Source organism: Homo sapiens, chromosome 16, assembly GCF_000001405.40.
Source record: "Homo sapiens chromosome 16, GRCh38.p14 Primary Assembly".
NCBI lineage: Eukaryota > Metazoa > Chordata > Mammalia > Primates > Hominidae > Homo > Homo sapiens.
In genome coordinates, this window is record NC_000016.10 from 9,355,209 (window position 1) to 9,378,492 (window position 23,284).

At 44.0% G+C, this 23,284-nt stretch overlaps 1 long non-coding RNA gene across 1 annotated transcript in view; it reads left to right on the forward strand.

Moving 5' to 3' along the window:
- The first annotated feature begins 379 nt into the window (after positions 1–379).
- Positions 380–23,284, forward strand: part of LINC02177 (long intergenic non-protein coding RNA 2177) — a 52,506-nt gene continuing 29,601 nt past the window's right edge. The window contains exon 1 of the long non-coding RNA NR_135195.1: positions 380–572. This is a non-coding gene — a long non-coding RNA (long intergenic non-protein coding RNA 2177). The remainder of the gene's footprint in view (positions 573–23,284) is intronic.

Consider the following 23,284-nt stretch of genomic DNA (forward strand, 5'->3'; position numbering starts at 1 on the left):
CAATGGCTGAATCATTGGTGATTGATTTTTAGAGAAACTGACAAACTGCTTTTCAAAGTTGTAGCATTTTAAACTCCTACCAGTGGTGTATGAAAGTTTGTTTCTCTACATTTCTTGCAAATCCTTGGTATTGTCAGGCTCTTTAACATTAGCTATTCTAATAGAAGTATAGTGGTATCTCATGGTTTTAATCTGCATTTCCCTAATGAGTAAAGATATTGGGCATCTTTTCATGTGCTTATATGCATTTGTGGTATCTTCTTTATTGGTGTCTGTTTAAATGTTGATATGGTTACGCTTTGTCTTCCCACCCAGATTTAATCTTGAATTGTAATCCCCATAATCCCCATAATCCTTAATTGTCAAGAGAGAGACCAGGTGGAGGTAATTGAATCATGGGGGCAGTTTCCCCCATGCTCTTCTCTCGAAAGTGAGTGAGTCTCACAAGATCTGATGGTTTTATAAGGGGTTCCTCCCCCTTGGCTCAGCACTTACCCTTCCTGCCGCCCTGTGAAGAGGTGCCTTCCACCATGATTGTAACTTTCCTGAGGACTCCCAAGCCATGCAGAACTGTGAGTAAATTTAACCTCTTTTCCTGCATTACCCGGTCTTAGGCAGTTCTTCATAGCAGTGTGAGAATGGACTAATACAAATGTTTTGCTTATTTTAAAAAGTGTGTGTTTTTTTCTTAGTTTTGGGATTTGAGAGTTCCTTATATAATCTGGGCACAAGTCCTTGATTAGATATCTGTTTTGCAAATATTTTCTCCTAGTCTATGGCTTTTGTTTTTAATTTTTTTTTAGGGGGAAGAAGGAGAGGAGAGAGCCTGTTTTAATTTCTTTTAACAGTGTCTTTTGAAAAGGCAACATCTTAAAATTTGACTAAGTACAATTAATGCATTTTTTTTCTTTTATGACTCATGCTTTCAGTATCATATCTAAAAAATCTTTGCCCAACCCAAGGTTACAAATATTTTATCTTGTGTTTTCTCCTGGAAATTGTATAGTTTAAGGTTTTACACTTAGGTCTGTGGTTCATTTTAAGTTGGTTTTTGTGTATGGTGTGAGGTATGAATCAAAGTTTATTTTTCTTGCATCCGGCTACCCAGTTTTTCTGTAAATGTCAGTTAAGTCAAGTTGATTGATGGCACTGTTCAAGTGTTCTACATGTTTGGTAATTTCTTGTTTATTTGTTATATTAATTATTGAAAGAATCTCTGACTGTAATTGTGGATTTTCTATTTCTCCTGGCAGTTCTATCAGTTTTTGTTTTATATATATTTTGATATTTTGAGCTTTTATTTATTTTTTTTGAGATGGAGTCTCGCACTGTCACCCAGACTGGAGTACAGTGACATGATCTCAGCTCACTACAACCTCTGCCTCCTGTGTTCAAGTGATTCTCCTTCCCTCAGCTACCCGAGTAGTTGGGATTACAGGCACCCACTATCATGCCCAGATAATTTTTGTATTTTTGGTAGATATGGGGTTTCACCATGTTGGCCAGTCTGATCCCAAACTCTGGACCCCAAGCAACCCACCTCCCTCGGCCTCCCAAATTGCTGGGATTACAGGTGTGAGCCACCATGCCTAGCCTTCAGTTTTGTTTTATGTGGTGAAACTTTAGTATTGTTATGTCCTCTTGATGAATTGATCTCTTTATGAGATAAACTTCTTTCTTTTTGGTAATATGTTTTGCTTTGAGATCTACATTATATGATATTAATATAGTCACTCTAGCTCTTTTTTGATGAGTATTAGCATGGTATGTCTTTTTCCGTTCTTGTACTTTTATATTTAAAGTCTGTTTTTTTATAGGGAGCATATAATTTGTGTGCCAGACATCATGAATTTTGTCTTATTGGGTGATGGATATTCCTCCTGGTCCTATGTGATCACCAAGTACTGTTTCCTCTAATCTTTTTGGATGATTCTTTCTCTAGCCTTGGTTAGTCTCTTCACGATAATGTGCTAAACAATATTTTGCAGACTACTTGAACGGTAGCCTCCATTTTCCTGAATGTATGGTGTCTACCCCACCCCTGCTTTTAGGATTTTTCTCATTCTCTTTGGTTTTCAGCAGGATGACTATGATGCACTTAGATGTGATTTTAACTATACTTTTTCTCCTTTAAGTTTATGTTTCCTACCAACTAAAAATATTTCATACCCTTCAATATTTTTTTCTATCCCATTTCCCTGCTCCTCTTCTGAGACTCCAAATTGTGCTGGATCATTTGATCTTGACCCAGGGCTCTCTAACATTCTGCTATAAAAATTCCTTTTCTCTCTTTGCCTCAGTTTGGATAATTCCTATTGACCACTCTTCAAATTCACTAATTCTTTCTTTCACTATGTCCAATATACTGTTAAGCCTATTCAATTAATTTTCCATTTCAGGTATTGTATTTTTCAGCTCTAGAATTTCCATTTGATTCTAATTTTAGAGGTCACATTATTCTTTTGGATTTTTTCCCATATTTTCACCCATATTAATATTTTCTTTCAGTTTCTTTCACATACTTTATAATAGTTATTTCAAATTCCATGTCCACTAATCAGCTGTGTCATCTCTTGGTCTGTATTTAGTCACATGTTTTTTTGTTGATTTTTAAATTTCACAATCTCCTACTTTTTAACATATTCTGCTATTTTTATCATATGCCAGAATTTTCATGTAAGAACTAGAAACTGAAGTTGATAATATTTTTTTTCCCAGAAATGGCTCGAATTTTTCTCTTTCAGACAGCTAGCGTAAGGGTTACTTTCTTCAGTCTGATCAGAAGTTGGACTGATTGGGGCTGGTTTACTGTTTTAGTTTGTTTTGGCTTGCATCTGGTCTTAATGTCTTGAAGGTGAGACCAGGCCTCTCCCTCCAGCAGATATTTGTGATTTAAGAACTGCAAGACTGCAAGATCTACTTCTGCTTTTCAGCCAAGCCCCCACCTTCTTCTACCATTTCTTAACTTGGAAAATGTCCAATGGGTGGGAGAATTGGTGTGGGGGAGAACTAGCTCTGGCTTCTGGCTCCAACAGATTCTAATCCTCATGCCTGCCCACATACAGATTTTAAAGTTTTGGCAGGTTTCTCGTCCCATCAAAGTTCTCTTTTACCTCCCAGACTTCATTTCCAGTCACATTGTTTTACAAGTAGCTTTTAGCACTGTGACATTTTATCTTGCATTCCTTTGCTGCTACATAAACTTTTCTTTGAACTTTTATTGTTTTGTTTCTGATATTAAGAGATCTCTTATGCCCATGATTTCTTTGTGGTTATGGAGAACTCATCTTTTTCTTGGTTGATTCCTCTTGCAATTAATATTTTATTTTATTTTGTTTTATTTTATTGTTATTATTATTTTTTGAGATGGAGCCTTGCTCTGCACCTAGGCTGGAGTGCAGTGGTGCAATCTTGGCTCACTGCAACCTCTACCCCCTAGGTTCAAGGTATTCTCCTGCCTCAGCCTCCTGAGTAGCTGGGATTACAGGCGCCCACCAGCGTGCCTGGCTAATTTTTGTATTTTTAGTAGAGACGGGGTTTTGCCATGTTGGCCAGGCTGGTCTCGAACTTTTGACCTCAGGTGATCCACCCGCCTCAGCCTCCTGAAGTGTTGGGATTACAGGTGTTAGCCACTGGGCCTGGCTGCCATATATATATATATATATGTTTTTTTTTGAGACAGGGTCTCACTGTATCACCCAGGAGGAGTGCAGTGGCTCCATGTCAGCTCACTACAACTCTCCACCCTCACCCCCTAGGCTCAAGCTTCCCACCCCAGCCTCCCCAGTAGCTGGGACCACAGATGCAGACCACCATACTCTGCTTTTTTGTTTTGTTTTGTTTTGGAATTTTTGGTAGAGATAGAGTCTTGCCATATTGCCCAGGCTGGTCTTGAACTCCACAGCTCAAGCCCTCTGCCCACCTCAGCCTCTCAAAGGGCTGGGAGAACAGGCATGAGGCACTGCACCTGGCCACAATTGATATTTTAAAAAACGTACCTTTTCATCACATCCTATTCCTCTCTTCCTCACTTTTTTGGGGGATAGGTCTCATGTGTTAAACTTTTTTTTTTTTATCAATGATAAATTTTGAATCCACCCAATTCATTCACTGAAGAGTCTGGACCACTCCACGGCTTTGATTTGTTTTGTTGTTTCAAACTCTCTAATGCAAATATCTGTTTCATTTTATTTTATTGTTTGCATTGTGGGCCTATTCCCCATCATATTTTGTGCTCATCGTGGCTCACAGCAACACTTTTTCATTCTTAACCTTTTTGTGCAGTGCCAATGTCTAGCCCTCCTGTTTCACCTTTCTCACCTCTAGTTCAGTCATCTCTCTGGCTAGGTCATGAAGAACTAGAATGATTTGTCCGTGAAGTTTCACCTTCAGCTCCATTTTCCCAACCATTCTGAGGGGTCAGATTGGGTTACCACGGGGCCTCTCCCATGGCCTGACTATATCCCTGGATTTTGTCCTGATCAGAGATTATTTATTTATTTTTGTAGGCCTTTTATATCTGTGACATTTATTTGCAAGGAAATTGGTTTCCTGCTTGATGTCCTACAAGGTATTTGTTGGGATTCAGCCTCACCCAAAATAATGATTATGATGACAATAGCAGCTACTCAGTACCAGGAGCACTGCTTACCTCATCTCTAATCCTCCCTGCAGTCCTGAGTGGTAAATATTATCTCTATTTTGCAGATACATTTTATTTATGCCCCACCATGTTCCAGGATGGTTTATAGGAGGTTTTATAATAATTTATAAAATATAGCATAGTCATGAAAGGTAAAGGCAAAGAAAATATCCTTTCAAAAGCAGTGTGGAAATAAAGTCTCATAGAGCTTCAGAGCCTTGCCTGTGCCCATGGAAGTATGAAGTAGCAGAAGTGCCGTTTGAACCTGGGTCTTCCAGCTGCTAAGAGCTGTGACCTTTGTACTAAGCCAGACTGACTCAGGCTGGTGAATAAGATGAGACAGGTAAGTGTTGGAGGGAAAACGTCATGTCCGACAGGCCGTCCAAAGTTGGGCTTTGACCGTCAATGCCAGGCTGGGCTCCGGTATCACTCCAGTCATGAGGACCACAGTCGGGGTCAGGAGAACCACAATGCAAAGTGCTGTACTGGGACTCAGGACACCTGGGTGCTTCTCCCAGCACCACAACTCATTGCAATAAATAATCACTGAGTTCTTTACAAAGCCATTCTATGGTATTTATTGAGCACCTGCTGTGGACAAAGCAAGCAAGGGTGAGCAAGGGCTGGGGAGTCCAGATATAAACAAGCCAGGCATCATCTCTGCCCTCAAGGAGCTCAGAGTCTAGTGGTTAAGGCAGATATTAAAGAAATATACAGTTAGCCATGGATTCGACCAACCATGAATTGAAAATATTCAGAAAAAGAAGTGTCTGCACTGAACATGTATGGACTTTGTTTCTTGCCATTATTCCCTAAACAATGCAGTATAACAACTATTTACATAGCATTTACATTGTATTAGGTATGACAAGAAATATAGAGATGATATAAAGTATACAAGAGGATGTGCGTAGGTTATATGCAAATACTATGCCTTTTTATTAATATATAAGGAACTTAAACATCTAAGGATTTTGGTATCTGTAGGGCATCCTGGAGCCAGTCCCCTATGGATACCAAAGGACAACTATACACACATAAGAAACAAATTATGAGTTTTATGAGGGAAAATAATTAAATCCATGAAGGAGACTGTCATAGGGCTAATTTGGGTTGGGAAGAGAGGTCAGGGAAGGGCTCTCTGAAGAAATGCCATATGAGTGGAGACATTTTAGTTGACACCCATTATTATTTATTTCTTTGATAACACAGCACGGATTCTTTTGGATAAATCCATTCCATGTGGATTGGATGAGGTTTGCCTATTAGTCTGGGAAGTGGGCATGTGACTCAGACCTGGCCAATCACAATGCTGTAATCCTCTGGCCGCAGCGATGATTCAGGGGTAGGCAAGGGCCTGAGAGAAACCAGAATGCTGTAGGTAGGATGCTGTGTTTCCAAACAGTTTCACTCATAATCACATGAGTCCAGGCCTGGACCCACACAGAGCAAGACAGAACAGCAATGGCATACTTTAAACCCCAACCCAGCCTTACTTGAAGCCTGACTTTTTAGTTACATGAACCAATGAGTTTCCTGCTTTGGGGGCACTAAGCTACATTGGGTTAGGTTTCTGTTACTTGTAGCTGTATAGATCTGAAAAAGAGTAGAAATTAGATGCACAGACATTGGGAGGGAGTGTTGCACACAGAGGTACCAGCCTGTGTGAGGGGCTGAGGAAAAAAAAGCTGGACATCACCGAGTCAAAGGCCAGTACAGCTGGAGTGAGTGGATGAAGGAGACAGTCAGTGGGCTGTGGGCTTGTGCACTACACAACGTTGCTTGAATAAAGGGTGAAGGGAATTGGGCTGAACTGTGTTGAATAGCATCCCCCATGCTGCCTCAGAAGGCAAGGAAAGATTTTTTCTCAGAGCCTTCAGAGGCATCATGGCCCTGCCGACACCTTGATCTTGGACTTCTGGCCTTCAGAACTGTGAGCAAATAGCTGTTGTTTTAAGCCATTGGGTTGGTGGGACTACGTTACAGCAGCCCTAGGGAATGACTGTGGTGGCAAATAGCTCAGCTTCTTTGGCCCTGGATGGGACAACTCTGAGGCACTACAAAACTCAGGTTGCAACCTTATTTGGAAATAGAGTCTTTGCAGGTGCAATTAGTTAAGACGAGGTCATACTGTCTTAGGGAAGGCCCTAAACCTAATGACTGTTGTCACTACAAGGAGGCCATATGAAGACACAGAGAGACACACGAAGAAGGCCATACAGCAGCCAAGGCAGAGCTGGAGTGACGAACCTGGAACCCAAAGAACACCAAAGAGTGCCAGCCGCCACCGGAAGCCAGGAAAAGACAAGGAAAGATTTTTCCTAGAGCCTTTGGAGGCAGCGTGACCCTGCCGAAACCTTGATCTTGGACTTGCAGCCTTCAGAACTGTGAGCAAATGTTTACTGTTTTAAGCCACCGGGGGGACTTCATTACAGCCGCTCTAGGGAATGACTATGATGGGAAATATCCCAGCTTCCCTGGCCCTGGATGGGACAACTCTGACACATGCTTCTCATAGTCCCTTGCCATTTCCAGCAGGACTGAGCCCCAGCTGTCCACAGGGTAACCTGCTCATTAATGTGCTATATTAGTCCATTTTCACACTGCTGATAAAGACATACCTGAGACTGGGTAATTATAAAGAAAAGAGGTTTAATTGACTCACAGTTCCACATGGCTGGGGAGGCCTCACAATTATGGCAGAAGGCAAGGAGGAGCAAAGTCACATCTTACATGGTGGTGGGCAAGAGACAGAGCTTGTGCAGGGGAACTCCTCTTTATAAAACTGTCAGAGCTCGTGAGACTTATTCAATATCAAGAGAACAGTATGGGAAAGACCCGCCTCCATGATTGAGTTACTTCCCACTGGGTCCCACCCATGACACGTGGGAATTGTGGGAGCTACAATTCAAGATGAGGCTTGGGTGGGGACACAGTCAAACCATATCATGTGCCTTATGCTTTCCTCTCCTGCACTCTCCCACTCCCTCACTTTGCTTCCTGGAATCATCTTCCAAGTAAACTACTTGTTCCCAGATGCTTGTCTTAGGGTCTGCTTTTGGAGAATCCCAGCTAAGACAGATGTCATGTAAGCTGGTGGAGAGAGGCTTAGGATGTAGCCATCATGGTCTATTTGTTTATTTATTTATTTAGAGATGAAGTCACCCAGGCTGGAGTGCAGTGGTGTGATCTTGGCTCACTGCAACCTCTGCCTCTGGGTTCAAGTGATTCTCCTGCCTCAGCCTCCTGAGTAGCTGGAATTACAGTCATGCGCCACCACACCTGGCTAATTTTTGTATTTTTAGTAGAGAATACAAAAATTTAGTATTTTTGTATTCACCATGTTGGCCAGGCTGGTCTCGAACTCATGATCTCAGGTGATCCACCTGCCTTGGCCTCCCAAGGTGTTGGGATTACAGGCGTGAACCAGCATGCCCAGCCCTCATGGTCTTTTTAGATGGGTTAATGAGTTTGGATTTAATCCTCAGTGTCATGGGAAACCATAGGAAGGATTTGAGCAGGGAGTGATGTCTGATATTCATTTCTCAAGGATCCCATTGGCAGCTGTTTGTAAAATGGCTTGTAGGGCACTAGAGCCCCGACAGGGAGACCCGTTGCAGTGGTCCTCCTTTTTCTAATTCATAATCTGGGGCCAAAGACTCTAGTGGGAATGGGGTAAGATGCACATAGGCTCGGCAAGATGCAATTTTCTCCCCATGAATCTTGGGGACCTCTTGTTATGCTGCAGGCTCTCTTAGTTAAGACTCAACTGCTAAGTAATTCTCATTACCTCTCCTCGCTGACAGGCAATGAACAGCTGTCAAGCATGTCTTACAAAACAAGACAATTTTCCCCCCATTAATGTAGCTCAGGATTGAGAAGAGCAGAGGAGCACACATCGCGGTAACCGAGCTTCCCGGCAGTGTCTCGGCCAGCCCCATTTTCCAGTGAGCAATAATTTCTCCTGCTGCCCTAGGAGGTAGGAGGTAGAGGTGCGAACAGGGAACTAGGAAGGGGTGACCTTTGGGATCTCCCTCCCATTTGGGTTCCCGTTGACCTTTCGGAAAGAAACCTTCTAACTGCAACACCTTTGGAATTTGTGTGTAATTTGCATCTGCAATTGGATGGGATATGTGGAGCACACTTTCACCTGAGACTGTAAAATAATTGCAATTAGAAGGAAGATTCTCTGATCCAGAGTCTAAACACTGAAAGGGCGATGAATGATGATCTAGATATAGACAACTCCAGGCCCACAGTAGGTGCTCAGTAAATCCACCCATCTGTCATCCTTTCTCCATTCCTTTCTTTCTTTCTCCTTTCCTTCCTGCCTTTCCTCCCCACCCACCTTATTTGCAATGCTGGAATCACCTCTTCTATATGCCCATTAAGTGGTGTCCTGTCTCATCTTGAATACTGCCAGTGACAGGGAAGTCACTCCTCATTCCATTCCAGTTCAGCTCTGGCAATGAGAAAATTCACTTTTTAGTTTTGTATTTTTATTTATTTATTTGTTTGTTTGTTTGTTTGTTTTTGAAACGGAGTTTCAAAACTCTTGTCTCCCAGGCTGGAGTGCAATGGTGCTATCTTGGCTCACTGCAACCTCTGCTTCCTGGGTTCAAGTGATTCTCCTGCCTCAGCCTCCCAAGTAGCTGGGATTACAGGCACCCGCCACTACACCTGGCCAATTTTTTTAGAGAGACAGGGTTTCACCATGTTGGCCAGGCTGGTCTTGAACTCTTGACCTCAGGTGATCTGCCCGCCTCGGCATCCCAAAGTGCTGGGATTACAGGCGTGAGCTGCCACATCCGGCTGAAAATTCACTTTTTAAATGCCAAGATAAACTTACCTCCTTGTAGCTCCCTCTTACTGGATCTAATTGTGCTCCCCAGTGGCCTCACAAAGTATGTCTTGTCTGTCTTCTACCTAAGTGTCCTCTGAACATTTGAAAAGAGTGCTCAAATTCCTAACAGTCTCTCTCTTTCTCTCTCTCTTTTTTTCCCTTTAAGCTAAAGGAAAACAGTTTCTCAACCTTTCTGTTTGCTCTCCTACCAACAATTTCCCATAGTCTTTATCTCTTTTGAAATGGTGGCCTTGACTGCAGGTGTGTGATCTCACCAGTAGGAACCAGGCTTGGCATGTCACCTCCTTTCCCTTGAACAATGCACCTCTATTGATGCAACCTGAGGTAACATTAGTCTTTAAAATTTTTTTATTTTTAGTTTTCTGGCAGTTCCACTTTACACTGCTAGCTAGTGTTTAGCTTAACATTGATGAAAAATCCTTAAGTCAGCGGCTGAGGAGCCAAATGCTGTCACAGGCAAGACAGGTAAGGCAAATAAGTGAAACATTCTGGGTGAGGCTTGTTGTGACATAAAGAGTTCATGCCCTTTTCATAGTGGGCAGCAGCTCGCAGCTCTAGCAGATTGTTGCTATGCAGAGTGTAGGCTCAGTGTTAAAAATTAGAAGCTTCCACATAAAAATCCAGACTACAACTTCTTTAAAAAAAAAAAAAAAGAACCCAGAGATCTGGCAACCTTGTGTTCATATTCCAGCATAGCTGGAGATGAGTTGTGGTTGCCAGAAACCCTTGGGCAATCCTGCAGAAGAAGCCAAGAGGGCACAGGGCCACCTTCCATGTGACAGTGCTGATCTAATCCATGAGCAAACAGCGTGGACCAAAACAGTCCCCAGGAGAGGCTGGTGCAGGAAGGCTCAGACACTGTGTTCTCTGACATAATTTATGTAAGTTATAATAGGGGGAGAGGCTCAGTCTGGGTTGTTCTGGAGTCTCAGCATCTTGCACTTTATTATGAGAAATTTTGCAAGCTTATTACTTTGTAGTAATAACTATGTTCTGGCAGAGAATGGAAGGGGAGATGTGATAAACAAATGTATGAAATATATGCTACAGAATTAGGGAGAGAGAAGGGCCAGGATAGAAGGTAAAACAGGAAGAGGGAAGAAGACTAGAGGTGAGGATGGGGTGGGGAGACCTGATTTAGATACAGAGGTTAGGGCATCTGACTTATAGCTAGAGGTCTGATTGGAGGGAGTGAATATGAGTATTTAGGCAGTAGAGCCAGGCGTGGTGGTGCACACCTGCAATTTCAGTGCTTTTAGGAGGCTGAGGATCGCTGGGGGCCAGGAGGTCAAGGCTGCAGTGAGCTGTGAATGAACCACTGCACTCCATCCTGGGTGACAGAGCAATACCTTATCTCTTAAAAAAAAAAAAAAAGCATGTTTAGGCAGCAGGTGCGAAGGCCCTGAGGTCAGCATGCTCTTGGTGTATTTGCAGGCCGTGAGGAACCTTGACCACAAAGCATGGTGAGGAATGGGGTGGTGCTGGCACATGAGGTGGGAGGAGAGGGCAGGGGCCATGTCCAGTAGGATCTGGGTGCTTGTGGTGAGGAGTGTGATGTGAGGTCCTTGGCAAGGTTGGGCAGCAGCAGAAGATAATCTAACACTCTGTCTTTTGCGTGTAAAATAACATACAGATACACATGGAAGGGAAAGATGGGTCAGGAGCTACCGTGATGTGTCCAGGTGAGAGGTGATGGTGGCCTGGACCAGGTGTGGAGGTGGGGGTGGAGAGACATGGTTGGATTCTGGATGTTGACTTGCTGATACGTGGGACCTGGGATACCAAAGAGAGAGAAGGAAGAGTTGAGAATGACTGCAAGACTTTTGGCCCGAATAACTGGATGGAGGAGAAATAACAGATGAGGAAGACTGTGGGAAGAGCAGATTTGGGGGCTATGGGCATTTTGGGGGGCAGCGGGGGACTGAATTGGGGAATTTAGAGACAAGGAAATGTGGTCCTGGGACATCATCACTGACAGTTGGGTATTGCAGAGGGAGAAAGAGTGACTCAGATATGTCCCTGGATGTCAGTTACAGACTTGTATCAGTTTCCTGTTGGTGCTGTAACAAGTCACCACAATCTTAGTGGCTTAAAACAATATAGATTTGTTATCTCACAACTCTGGAGAGGCAGGCATCCAAAATGGGACTCACTGGGCTAAAGTTAAGCTGTTGGCAGGGTTGGGCTCCTTCTGAAGGCTCCAGGGAGGGTCTGTGGCCTCAGCTTTTCTGGCTTCTAGACGCTGCCTGAATTCCTTGGCTCTCCTTCCATCTCCAAGGCCAGCAATGCAGGTGGAGTGCTTCTCACTCAGACTTGGACCATCTTGCCTCCCCTCTCCATTGTAAAGATCTCGTGATCACAGTGGGCCCACCTGGATAGTCCAGGATTCTCTCCCCATCTCAGGATCTTTATCTTAACCACATCTACAAAGTCTCTTTGCCACGTAAGGTGACACATTCAGGGGGTCTGGGGATCAGGAAGTGAACATCTTTGGGGACATTATTCTGTCTACCACACAGATAAACCTGTTTCTTCATGCTGCTCCCTAGGATGAGGTAGGAGTGCAGCTGTGCGGTCTCCTATTCATCTCAGACCTCTAAAGCACCTTAGGGAGGAAGATCTCACTGCAGTAGGCTGATAACCCAGTGTAACAAAAACCTGTTTAATTACAGAATAACACTGTCTTTAGTAGAGAACAAAAGGGACATTATTGAAAAATCCCTTGACTAACCTGTACCTTTTGGAGCTACACATCATGAGGCTTTTTACAAAATGCCTCATAAAATTACCTATGAATTAAATTGAGATCTATCTGGGAGAAGGCTGTAAATTTCCCTCAAACAAGCAGCTATCTCTTTCAGCTGAAACTTGTCTTTCTAGGTTGCCCCAGTCCCCACCACTCCATATTGTCTCAGCCCTGGTTATGCATTTATGTCAGCTGCTTGGCTCTCAAGAGCATTTGTGTTCATGACTCCTCGCTTAAAATTATTCTGCACGGAAGTTGATGATGGAGTTGTGTTTAACCTCAAGATGTGACTTAGCTGTGTGATCCCAGCAAATCAGGAATCATCTCTGAGTCTCAGTTTCCTTGCTGGTGAGATGTGAACGCTGCTGTGGTGGGGAGTAAGGGGGAGGGAGGCAGGCTTTATGACAGCTATGAGCATTTACTCATTTACTATGAGTCAGACAAGTAAGACTGAATCTCCATGCTATAGTTTGCTACCCACGTTCTTTTATTTTTATTTATATATTTATATATTTATTTATTTGTTTATATGTTTTTAATTTCAGTAGGTTTTTGGGGGAACAGGTAGTGTCTGGTTACATGAATTTACATGAATAACTTCTTTCATTTTTTGAGATGGAATCTTACTCTTGTTGCCCAGGCTAGAGTACAGCGGCACGATCTTGGCTCACTGCAACCTCCATCTCCCGGGTTCAAGTGATTTTCTTGCCTCAACCTCCCCAGTAGCTGGGACTACAGGCGGCCACCACCATGCCCGGCTAATTTTTGTATCTTTAGTAAAGATGGAGTTTCACCATGTTGGCCAGGCTGGATCTGCAAGCCTCGGCCTCCCAAAGTGCTGGGATTACAGGCATGAACCACCGTGCCCGTCGAATAAGTTCTTTAGTGGTGATTTCTGAGACTTTGGTGCACGCATCGCTCAAGCAGTGTACACTGTACCCAATGTGTAGTCTTTTATCCCTCAGCACCCCCGACCCTTTCCCCTGAGTTCCCAAAGTCCAATCTATCATTCTTATGCCTTTTTGTCCTTATAGCTTAGCTCCCACATATGAATGAGAACACACAAAATTTGATTTTCCATTCCTGAGTTTCTTCACTTAGAATAATAGTCTCCAGTTCCATCCAGGTTGCTGCAAATGCCATTATTTCCTTTTCTTTTTATGGCCGAGTAGTATTTCATGGTGTGTTTGTGTGTATATATATATGTGTGTGTGTGTATATATATATGTATATATGTGTGTGTATATATGTATACATGTGTGTATATATACATGTATATATATGTGTGTGTTTATATATATATAAATGTGATATATATATATCACATTTTCTTTATTTACTTGTTGATTGATGGGCATTTGGACTGGTTTTGTATTTTTGCAATTGCAAATTGTGCTGCTATAAACAATCCAAATCGGTAAAGAGGAAGTCAAATTGCCGCTGCTCGCTGATGATATGATTGTGTACCTAGAAAATCCCAAACACTCATCCAAAAAGCTCCTAGAACTGGTCAATGAATCCTGCATTCATTCATTCATTGTTCAACAAATACTCGTTGGGTCCTTTCTAAATGTGTCAGGCACTGTGCAGGGTGTTAGAGAAACATCAGTGAACAAAAGGGATAAAATCTCTTCCCTCATGGGACTCACACTTTAGTGGGATGTGTGTAGTGCATGATGACATAATTGTAGCACCCATTGTATGCAAATAGGAAAGGAGGCTGGCATGATGTCAGGCCAGTGTCACAGCCCCTCTGAGTCTGTTTCCTTTCCCTTAAATGACTTTGATAGGTCTTTCTCTTAAATGACTTTTTTTTTTTTTTTTTGAGACGGCGTCTCGCTCTGTCGCCCAGGCTGCCACGCTGGAGTTCAGTGGCAGGATCTCGGCTCACTGCAAGCTCCGCCTCCCAGGTTCACGCCATTCTGCTGCCTCAGCCTCCCAAGTAGCTGGGACTACAGGTGCCCGCCACCACACCTGGCTAATTTTGTTTTTGTATTTTTAGTAGAGACGGGGTTTCACTGTGTTAGCCAGGATGGTCTCGATCTCCTGACCTCGTGATCCGCCTGCCTTGGCCTCCCAAAGGGATTAAATGACTCTTGTAGGCCTTTCCTCTTACCGACGTTGTAAGCATTGAATAAGAGGGTGTTGTGAGTTGAATTGTATCATCTCCAGATGCATCTACTGATGTTCTAACCCCTGGAAATAGGACCTTACTGGAGATCTTGTCTTCACAGAAGTAATGAAGTTAAGTTGAGGCCATTTGGGTGGGCTTTAATCAGTAAGACTGGTGCTTTTATAAGAAGTGGAAATTTGGATACAGAGACATGCACAGAAGGAAGTGAAGAGATCCAGGGAGAAGACAGCAATCTACAAGCCAAGGAGAGAGGCCTGGAACAGAGTGGAGTCTCCCCCATAGCCCTCAGAAGGAATCACCCCTGCTGACACCTTGATTTTCAACTTCTGACCTCCACAGCTGGGAGAGAATAAATTTCTGTTGTTTGAGCCACCTTGTTACAAAACTCCAGCAAACCAATACAGAGGGTTTCTGTAAAGTGTTGATCTCAGTGTCTGGCAACTATGAAGTATTGCACTGGACAAATGGAGGTTGTAAGAATAACAGAGGTAAATGATTGCCTGGCCCCTAGCCAACCCTTATTCCATGCTACTCCCTCCCTCTCACTTTAACAAGGTTTGTTATAAAGGAAACTCCCAGTCAAATCCCTGTGGTCACTCCTCCGACCGCTCCCACCTCTTTGCCGCCTTTTCTCAGATAGGTTGCTTCAAGCCAAAAGCACTTCTCCCAGCAGTTCTGACTTGATGAAGTTATCTTGTTTCAGGGCTGAGCAGAGCTTTCCATGACAATAGCTCTCTGGGGGAAACGAAGCCAGCTGTCACATCGCTGCCTGACACTTTGCTATCACACATTTTCTTCCAGGTCTCCTTGTCCGACAGCTTCTTCACAAGTGGCTCCGTGCAGGGCCTCCATGACCTCGAATGACTGATTGCCACCTAAGCGGGCAGTTGGGCTGCATTATCACAGCTGTTACAAGGAAAGAGAGGGTTGTAATCCCTCTTCCCCAAATGACAGACTGCTTGTTAGACACAGAATGGTCACTGTGGCTTGTAAGATGTGGGTGGGGAAGAATAATCCATTTATAGAAAACCACAGACTGACAACCTCTCCTTCTTGCTGTTCCCTGTCTCCTTAAACCTGTTTTCTCTGCCCACTTATCGGATCATACGGATTCTGAAATGTGTCTGACATCCAATGGCAACTAGCAATGTGCAACCAAAAGTTATTTCTTGGCCTGGCATGGTGGCTCATGCCTGTAATCCCAGCACTTTAGGAGGCTGAGGCAGGCGGATCACCTGAGGTCAGGAGTTTGAGACCAGCCTGGCCAACATGGTGAAACCCTGTCTCTATTAAAAATACAAAAATTAGCTGGGTGTGGTGGTGGGTGTCTGTAATCCCAGCTACTTGGGAGGCTGAGGCAGGAGAATCACTTGAACCCAGGAAGCAGAGGTTGCAGTGAGCTGAGACGGTGCCATTGCATTCCAGACTGGGCAACAAGAGTGAAACTCTGTCTCAAAAAAAAAAAAAAAAAAAAAGTTATTTCTTGCCTGGCCAGGATACCTCAACCACTGCTTAAAACACCTACTATATACCAGACATATAAAACCATTTATTGATCTATAAACATTTATTGAGTTTGTATGGTAGTGATTCGAATGAGTGAAGGTGTCAATAAGAGATACCAACTAAAAGCAGCTTGACGAAGTCATTATATGAAGAAGACACTTGCACATGTGTGTTTACAGCAGCGTAATTTACAATTGCAAAGATGCGGAACCAACCCAAGTGCCCATGGATTGAGTGGCTAAAGAAAAACGTGGTATATATACACCACGGAATATGACTCAGCCATTAAAAGGAATGAAATCATGTCTTTTGCAGCGACTTGGATGGATCTGGAGGCCATTATTCTAAGTGAAGTAACACAGGAGTAGAAAACCAAAAACCGCATGTTCTCACTAAAAGCGGGAGGTTGAGCTATGAGTACGCAGAGGCATACAGAGTGGTATAATGGACTTCAGGGACTTTAAAGTGTGAGAGTGTAGGGGGGCCAGGGATGGAAAAAACCTACACGTTAGGTACAATGTACACTACTTGTGTGATGAGTGCACTAAAATCTCAGAATTCATCACTATATAATTCATTTATGTAACCAAAAACCACTTGTACCCCAAGAACTATTGAAAATAAATAGATAAAAAATTAAAAAGTGTGCTGTAAAAGAAATTAAAAGCAGCTTAACTAATGACACATTATTTCTCACGTAACAGAACTCGAGAGGAGTTGGATCCAGGGTTGATTCCATGGCGCCTGGGCTCCGCATCAGCCTCTCTTAGCCTTTTTTGCCTTCTCCCTCTCGGAGCCAAAATAGCTGCTGCTGCACCGTCATCACGTCTTTCATGTCAGTGTCCAGAGCAGTAAGGCAGTTCGAGAATGGCTGTTGGGTGGCAATCACAAATGTCTGGGGCATGTGCCATGTGCTAGTCATTTTTCTAGGTGCTGATGTTTTGCTTCTTCTAATCCTGAGCAACATACTCTGGGAAGGTGTCATCTTTGAGATGTTAAGTGATTTGTCTAAGGCCATAAGCTAGTAAGTGGCATGATGGGAATTTAAGTCTAGGTTTACCTGACTCCAAAAAGTCTGTGTTCATTCTACCAAGATCTAGCAGTGTCTAGATCAGGGTTTCTCAATCTGAGCACTATTGACATTTTGTGCTGGACAGTTCCTTGTTGTAGGGGGCTGTCCCATGCATTGCAGGATGTTCAGCAGCTTCTGTAGAACCTATCTATTAGATGCCAGTAGCACCCCCTCAGCTGTGACAATCAAAAATGCCCCCACACATTGCCAAATGTTCAGATGCTGCAAAAATCACCTGCAGTTAAGAGCCATTGCCCTATGGAGTACTCTTTCTGTCAAGGCTCAATATAAAATTGCATAAAGCTGGACGCGGTGACTCACACCTGTAATTCCAGCAATTTGGGAGGCTGAGGTAGGCACACTTGAACTCCTGAGTCCAGGAATTCAAGCTGGGCAACATGGCGAAATCCTGTCTCTACTAAAAATACAAAAAATTAGTCAGGCGTGGTGGTGTGCGCCTGTAATCCCAGCTTCTCAGGAGGCTGAGGTGGGAGAATTGCGTGAGCTCAGGAGGGCAAGACTGCAGTAAACTGAAATTGTGCCACTGCACTCCAGCCTGATCAACTGGAGTGAGATCCTGTTAAAAAAAAAAAAAAAAAAAAAAAAAAAAAAAAAAGCCTGAGTCCTGAGCCTTTAACCTGGTGACCAACATGCTCCCTGCTCTGGCACTCAGTATGGAGTTTTCAAAATACATTCTCTAATTTGGTATGATTGATGGCTGTAGAGGGGGTGAGTGAGAGATAAATGGACCACAAACAGGCTGGCTATTGACACTATGTCACAGTGACACTGCTGAGGGATGTTTTATAGGTTAACTCTTAATTTTAACCTTCACATCAATCTCACGACACAAGTACTATCCTTCCCCCCGATCTTTAGATGAGGAGAATGAATTGAGAGCCATGAAGTTACTTGCTCGAAGCTACACAGCTGGAGTGTGGCCCATGGCAGAGTCTGTCTGCAGAGGGCCCCCTCAAGCCTTGCTGTCTCCATAGCACCTCTGTGCGTGAGTTACTGTCAGCTCTGATTTTCAAAGAGGAAACATGCGAGAAGACACTCAGTCCCAAATTAGTGCTTTGAATAATTCACAAGGCACTTTCAGGTGTTCAGGCCCGGGGACTTTCAGGAGACCTGGTGTTATGGACTGAAAGTCTGTGTCTTCCCAAAATTCATAGGTTGAAGCCCTAACCCCCAGTGTGATGTTGTTAGGAGGTTGGGCCTATGGGAGGTGATAAGGTTTAGATGAGGTCATGAGTGTGGGGCCCCCATGGTGGGGGGGGCGGGATTAGTGTTTTCATAAGAAGAGGAAAAGAGACAGACTCTTCCTCTGTCTCCACCACGTGAGGACACAGCAAGAAGGCGGCTGTCTGCAAGCCAGGAAGAGAGTCTTTATCAAAACCCAATCCTCCTGGCTTCCTGATCTTGGACTTCCTGCCCTTCACAATAAGTGCCTGTTGTTTAAGCCACACATTCATGGTGTTTTATTATAGCAGCTTGAGCTGACTAGGGCAGTTGGTAACACAGATGAGTGACTGCAGGAGATTGGTTAATGCCAGGGCAGTGCCACACCTCATGGTCCAGGAGGGAGCAAAGGCAGAGGTGCCCCTGCTATGATGCCTGCTTGCTTACAGATTGTCTTCTTCAATCTATTCTGCACACGACTATCTACAAACAGAGAGCCCGCCAAACCAGGCGGCTGCTTAAAACCCTTCAGCGGATACTCAGTGCCGCCTGGGTAAAGCGTCTAGAACCTATCACACTCATATTTTTAATTACTTGTTGTCCATTTGTTTAATAGTGTAATGGGCATCCAGGCCCAGGGACTGGACCATACCTACGCCTCCAGCTCACTCACTTGCACCATCATAATCGTTGTGTTCCTGAGAGCAGCCTTGTTTCTCTTGGTGCCTTTGTGGATGGATGGTGGTGCTGCTGTCTGAATGCACAGCCCTATCAGTCCACCAGACAGATCCCTATTTGTCCTTTAAATATTTGCTGAGTCTCTCGTGTAGACTTCCCGGAGTCTCCTCTCCCTGATAGTTAATCTCTTCCTCCTCTGTGATGCATGCTTTCCTTGTACACGCATCTGTGTATTTTCTTTTTCCACGTTGAGTCACTCCACTGTTTCCGTCTGCCATTTGCCTGTCTCCTCCAACATGCATGCCTTCAACAAGTATTTGTTGAGCTCCTACCATTCCTGGGTACTGTGCTGGGGGCTAGAGATGCAGCTGATAACAAAACGGAGATGGGAGGTTGTCTCTGTTTTCGTGAAAACTGCAGCCTATTTGGAGGAGCCAGCATTAAACAAACAAGTAAAAAGTAATTAAAACTATGAATGTGATAGGTTCTACAAAGGAAAAGCTTACTAGGAGTGCCTCCAAATTTCCTTGTATCACTGTAGTCCAGTGGTTCTCAGCAGAGGGCAACTTTGCCTGCCAGGGAATATTTGGCAGTGTCTGAAGATATTTTGGGGGAATAGGTGCTCCTGGCATCTGGTGAGATGAGGCAGAGCTGCTGCTAAATACAGTGTATAGGACCGCACAGGACCACAATGATCTGGCCCCAGATGTTCACAGTGTGGAGATTGGGAGACCCTGCTGTAACCCCCTTCCCCAGCATAATGTCCTGTAACAGATACACCAAAAATGCTTGCTGAATAAATGGGTGAAGAAAGGAAGTCATTCAGTTGTGGTGGCCAGAGATGCCAGTGCTTCTTAGATGAGCACCTGTGAATGATTTCTCCAATCTTTGCATGGTGGGGCAGGACTTGTGTCATCGCAGGTATGGGGCTGGGTCGCTTGCACAAATACCCATGCTCAGAAAGGCCCCAGCTTGGTTGAATGCTCTGCAAAGGCCATCTTGAAATTTGTAGTAATTTTTGCGAAAGGGTCCTGCATTTTCACTTTGCACTGGGTCCCATAAATTATGTAGCTGGTTCCAGGGTGGGGTGTGTGAGGAAGGGGGCAAATAATGAAACCTCTGAGCAGGAGGTTAAAAGAGGGAGGTGACAGTGAAGCCTCCAATGAGAGTAGCGGAGGTGTATAACCCTCTCTGTGATGTCTCAGGTCTGAACCCAGAGTCTGGAGCTTAAAATTTTAATTTAATTTTTTATCTTTTTTTTTTTTCTTTTTTTGAGACAGGGTCTCACTTTGTCACCCAGGCTGGAGTGCAGTGGCTTGATCTTGGCTCAGTGCACCCTCGACCTTCTGGGCTTGAGCAATCCTTCTTCCTCAGCCCCCCAAGTAGCTGAGACTACAGGCATGCACCACCATGCCTGGCTAATTTTTCTGTATTAATTGTTTAAGTTGGCACATTATAACTATACATATTTGTGGGGCACACAGTGATGTTTTGATGTATATAATGTATAATGATTACATCAGGGGAACTAGTATATCCATCATCTCAAGCATTTATCATTTCTTTGTGTTGGGAAAGTTCAATATCATCCTAGCTATTTGGAACTTATGTTATAGTCATCATACAGTGCTATAGAACACTAGGACCTACTGCTCCCTTCTAGATGGAATTTTTAATAAATCTCCTTTAATAAATCTCTCCCTATTCCTCCTCTTTCCCTACTCTTCCCAGCTTCTAGTATCCTCTGCCCTACTCTTTACTTTTATGACATCAGCCTTGTTAGCTTTAACATATGAGTGGGAATGTGTAGTATTTAACTTTCTGTGCCTGGCTTATTTCACTTAGCATAATATCCTCCAGTTTCATCCATGCTGCCATGAATGACAGGATTTTCTCCATTTTTATGGCTCAGTAGTATTCCATTGTGTATAGGTACCCCATTTGCTTTATTCATTCATCTATTGTTGGACACCTAGGTTGATTCCACATCTTGGCTCTTGTGAACAGTAGAGTCCAGTTTCGACATCTATAGGAAGCTCTCTATCTGTCATCCTAGACCTGCCCCTTTCTCAGGCTTCTGCACCCTGGAAATGGTGCCTTCTTTTAATGTTTGTTAAGGAGAATTTTAATCGTAGATTAATACAACCTTGGAGTGAATGGTGCAATGAAAACCCATGGACCCATCACTCACCCTCAACAGTGATCAACGTGTGGCCAATTCTTTTTTCATTTCCAGCTCCCAAAAGGCTTCCCCTCCCATACTATTTTAGATAAATGCCAGAATTATATAATTTCATTTTATTTATAGTTATTTAGAGACAAGTTCTCACTGTCATCCAGGCTGGGGTAGAGTGGCATGATCATGGCTCACTGCAGCCTTGACCTCCTGGGTTCAAGTGATCCTCCCGCCTCAGTCTCCTGAGTAGCTAGGACTCTAGGCACGCATCATCATGCCTGGCTAATTTTGATTTTTCGTAGAGATGGGGGGTCTCATTTTGTTACCCAGGCTGGTCTCAAACTCGAGCACTCCTCCCGCCTCAAACTCCTGAAGTGCTGAGATTATTACAGGTGCGAGGCACTGTGCCCAGCCCTCATGCGTTTATTAATGTTAAATAATTGGGTGACTTTATTATTTTTTATTTATTTATTTTTCGTAAGGGACAGGACCTTGATCTGTCACCCTGGCTGGAAGGCAATGGCATGATCATAGCTAACTACAACCTCAAATTCTGGGATCCAAGCAATCCTGCTGCCCCAGCCTCCAAAGTAGCTGGGATTACAGGTGTGCACCACCATACCCAGCTAATTTTTAAATATTTTTTAGAGACAGGGTCTCACTGTATTGCCCATGCTGGTTTCACACTCTTGGGCCCAAGCAATCCTCCCACTTTGGCCTCCCGAGTAGCTGGGATTAGAGGCAGGTGGCACCATGCCTGGCCATTTCATTTTTTAAAGTTTTGGCATGTATCTCTACAAGGTGAGGACAATTAAGAAATAACCAATGGCAATACCATTACCACCTCTAAAAAGTGAATGATTCTTTTATATTATGCAATATCCTGTCAGTGTCTAGGAACTAAAATAGCTTCCTCTTTCCTTCTCCCTCCTCCCACATCTAATCCATCCATGCGTCCTGCCAACTCCACACTCATCCTGAATCCATCCACTCTGCTGCCTCTCTGGGACTTCCATCCTAGCCTAGCCTGAGATGATCTCTGACCTGGACAACTGCACGTCCCTACATGGTCTGACCTTGCCTGTCTCTGACCCTACCTCCCACTAGCTTTCCCCTCCTCTCCCTCCCTATCTTCCCCTTCCAGACCAGCCACACTGGCCTCCTTGCTGGTCTATAAACATGCCCGGGACCCTGATGACCTGGGCCGCATATTAGCTGCTCCCTGGTGCAGGAATTCTCTTCAACCTGGTAGTCCCATGGCCCATCCCTCAACTCATCCAGGTCTCTGGTGTCTGTCACTTTCTCAGAGAGACCCTGCTGGCCAGCTTATCTCAACTGGCCCTTCCATGACCCCACACCACCACCCTCAGCCCTGACCGCTCTCTGAAATCAAGCCATATCATGTCGTGCTATTGGTTGTTTACTGTCTTTCTTTCCTACTGAAGCAAAGGCCTTATAACTGGGGCTTGGTCTGTCTTGTTCACTTCTGTATTTAGCACAGCCTCTAGCATCTTTTCTTTTCTTTTCTTTTTTTTTTTGAGACAGGGTCTTGCTCTGTTGCCCAGACTAGAGTGTAGGGGTGTGAACATGGCTCACTGCAGCCTCAACTTCCTGGTCTCAAGTGATTTTCTCACCTTAGCCTCCCAAGTAGCTGGGATTATAGGCATGAGTAACCACATCCAGCTAATTTTAACTTTTTCTGTAGAGACAGTGTCTTGTTGTGTTGCCAAGGCTGGTCTCAAACCCCCGGACGCAAGCGATCTTTCCACCTTGGTCTCCCAGAGTATTGGGGCTATGGGTGTGAGCCAGGCCCCTAGCATATATTCAGTTTTCACTGAATATTTGCTAAATGAATGGATTTACTTAGGGGTAGGGTGGGTTTTCCTGCCTCAGGTAGTACTGGCAGCATTGAGATAACACCAACACAAAAACAAAAATGAAGACAAATGCTGAGAACTCTCATCAAAGAATCAGCCAGGTCTGAAAAGCAGACTTAGGGGATGATTGTAAGGATGGGGCAGAGGCATTCTTTTGGGGTCAGAGACCCTACCCCTTGAAGGGAAGCTGGGAAGGAACTGAAGATGTCTTGCCTCAGTTCACCCACTCTCACCCCCTCTACCTCATCTGAATAGGCCTCTATCTTCCCCATGTAAACTAGGCTGAGAAATTCCAAGATGCGCCTGAGAACAGCCAACCCCAGTGCCCACTCCAGGACAACTGGGAAGAGGAAAAATAAAATAGGGAGAATTCTCTCTTCCACAGGTTCATTAGCTATGGCTGGAAC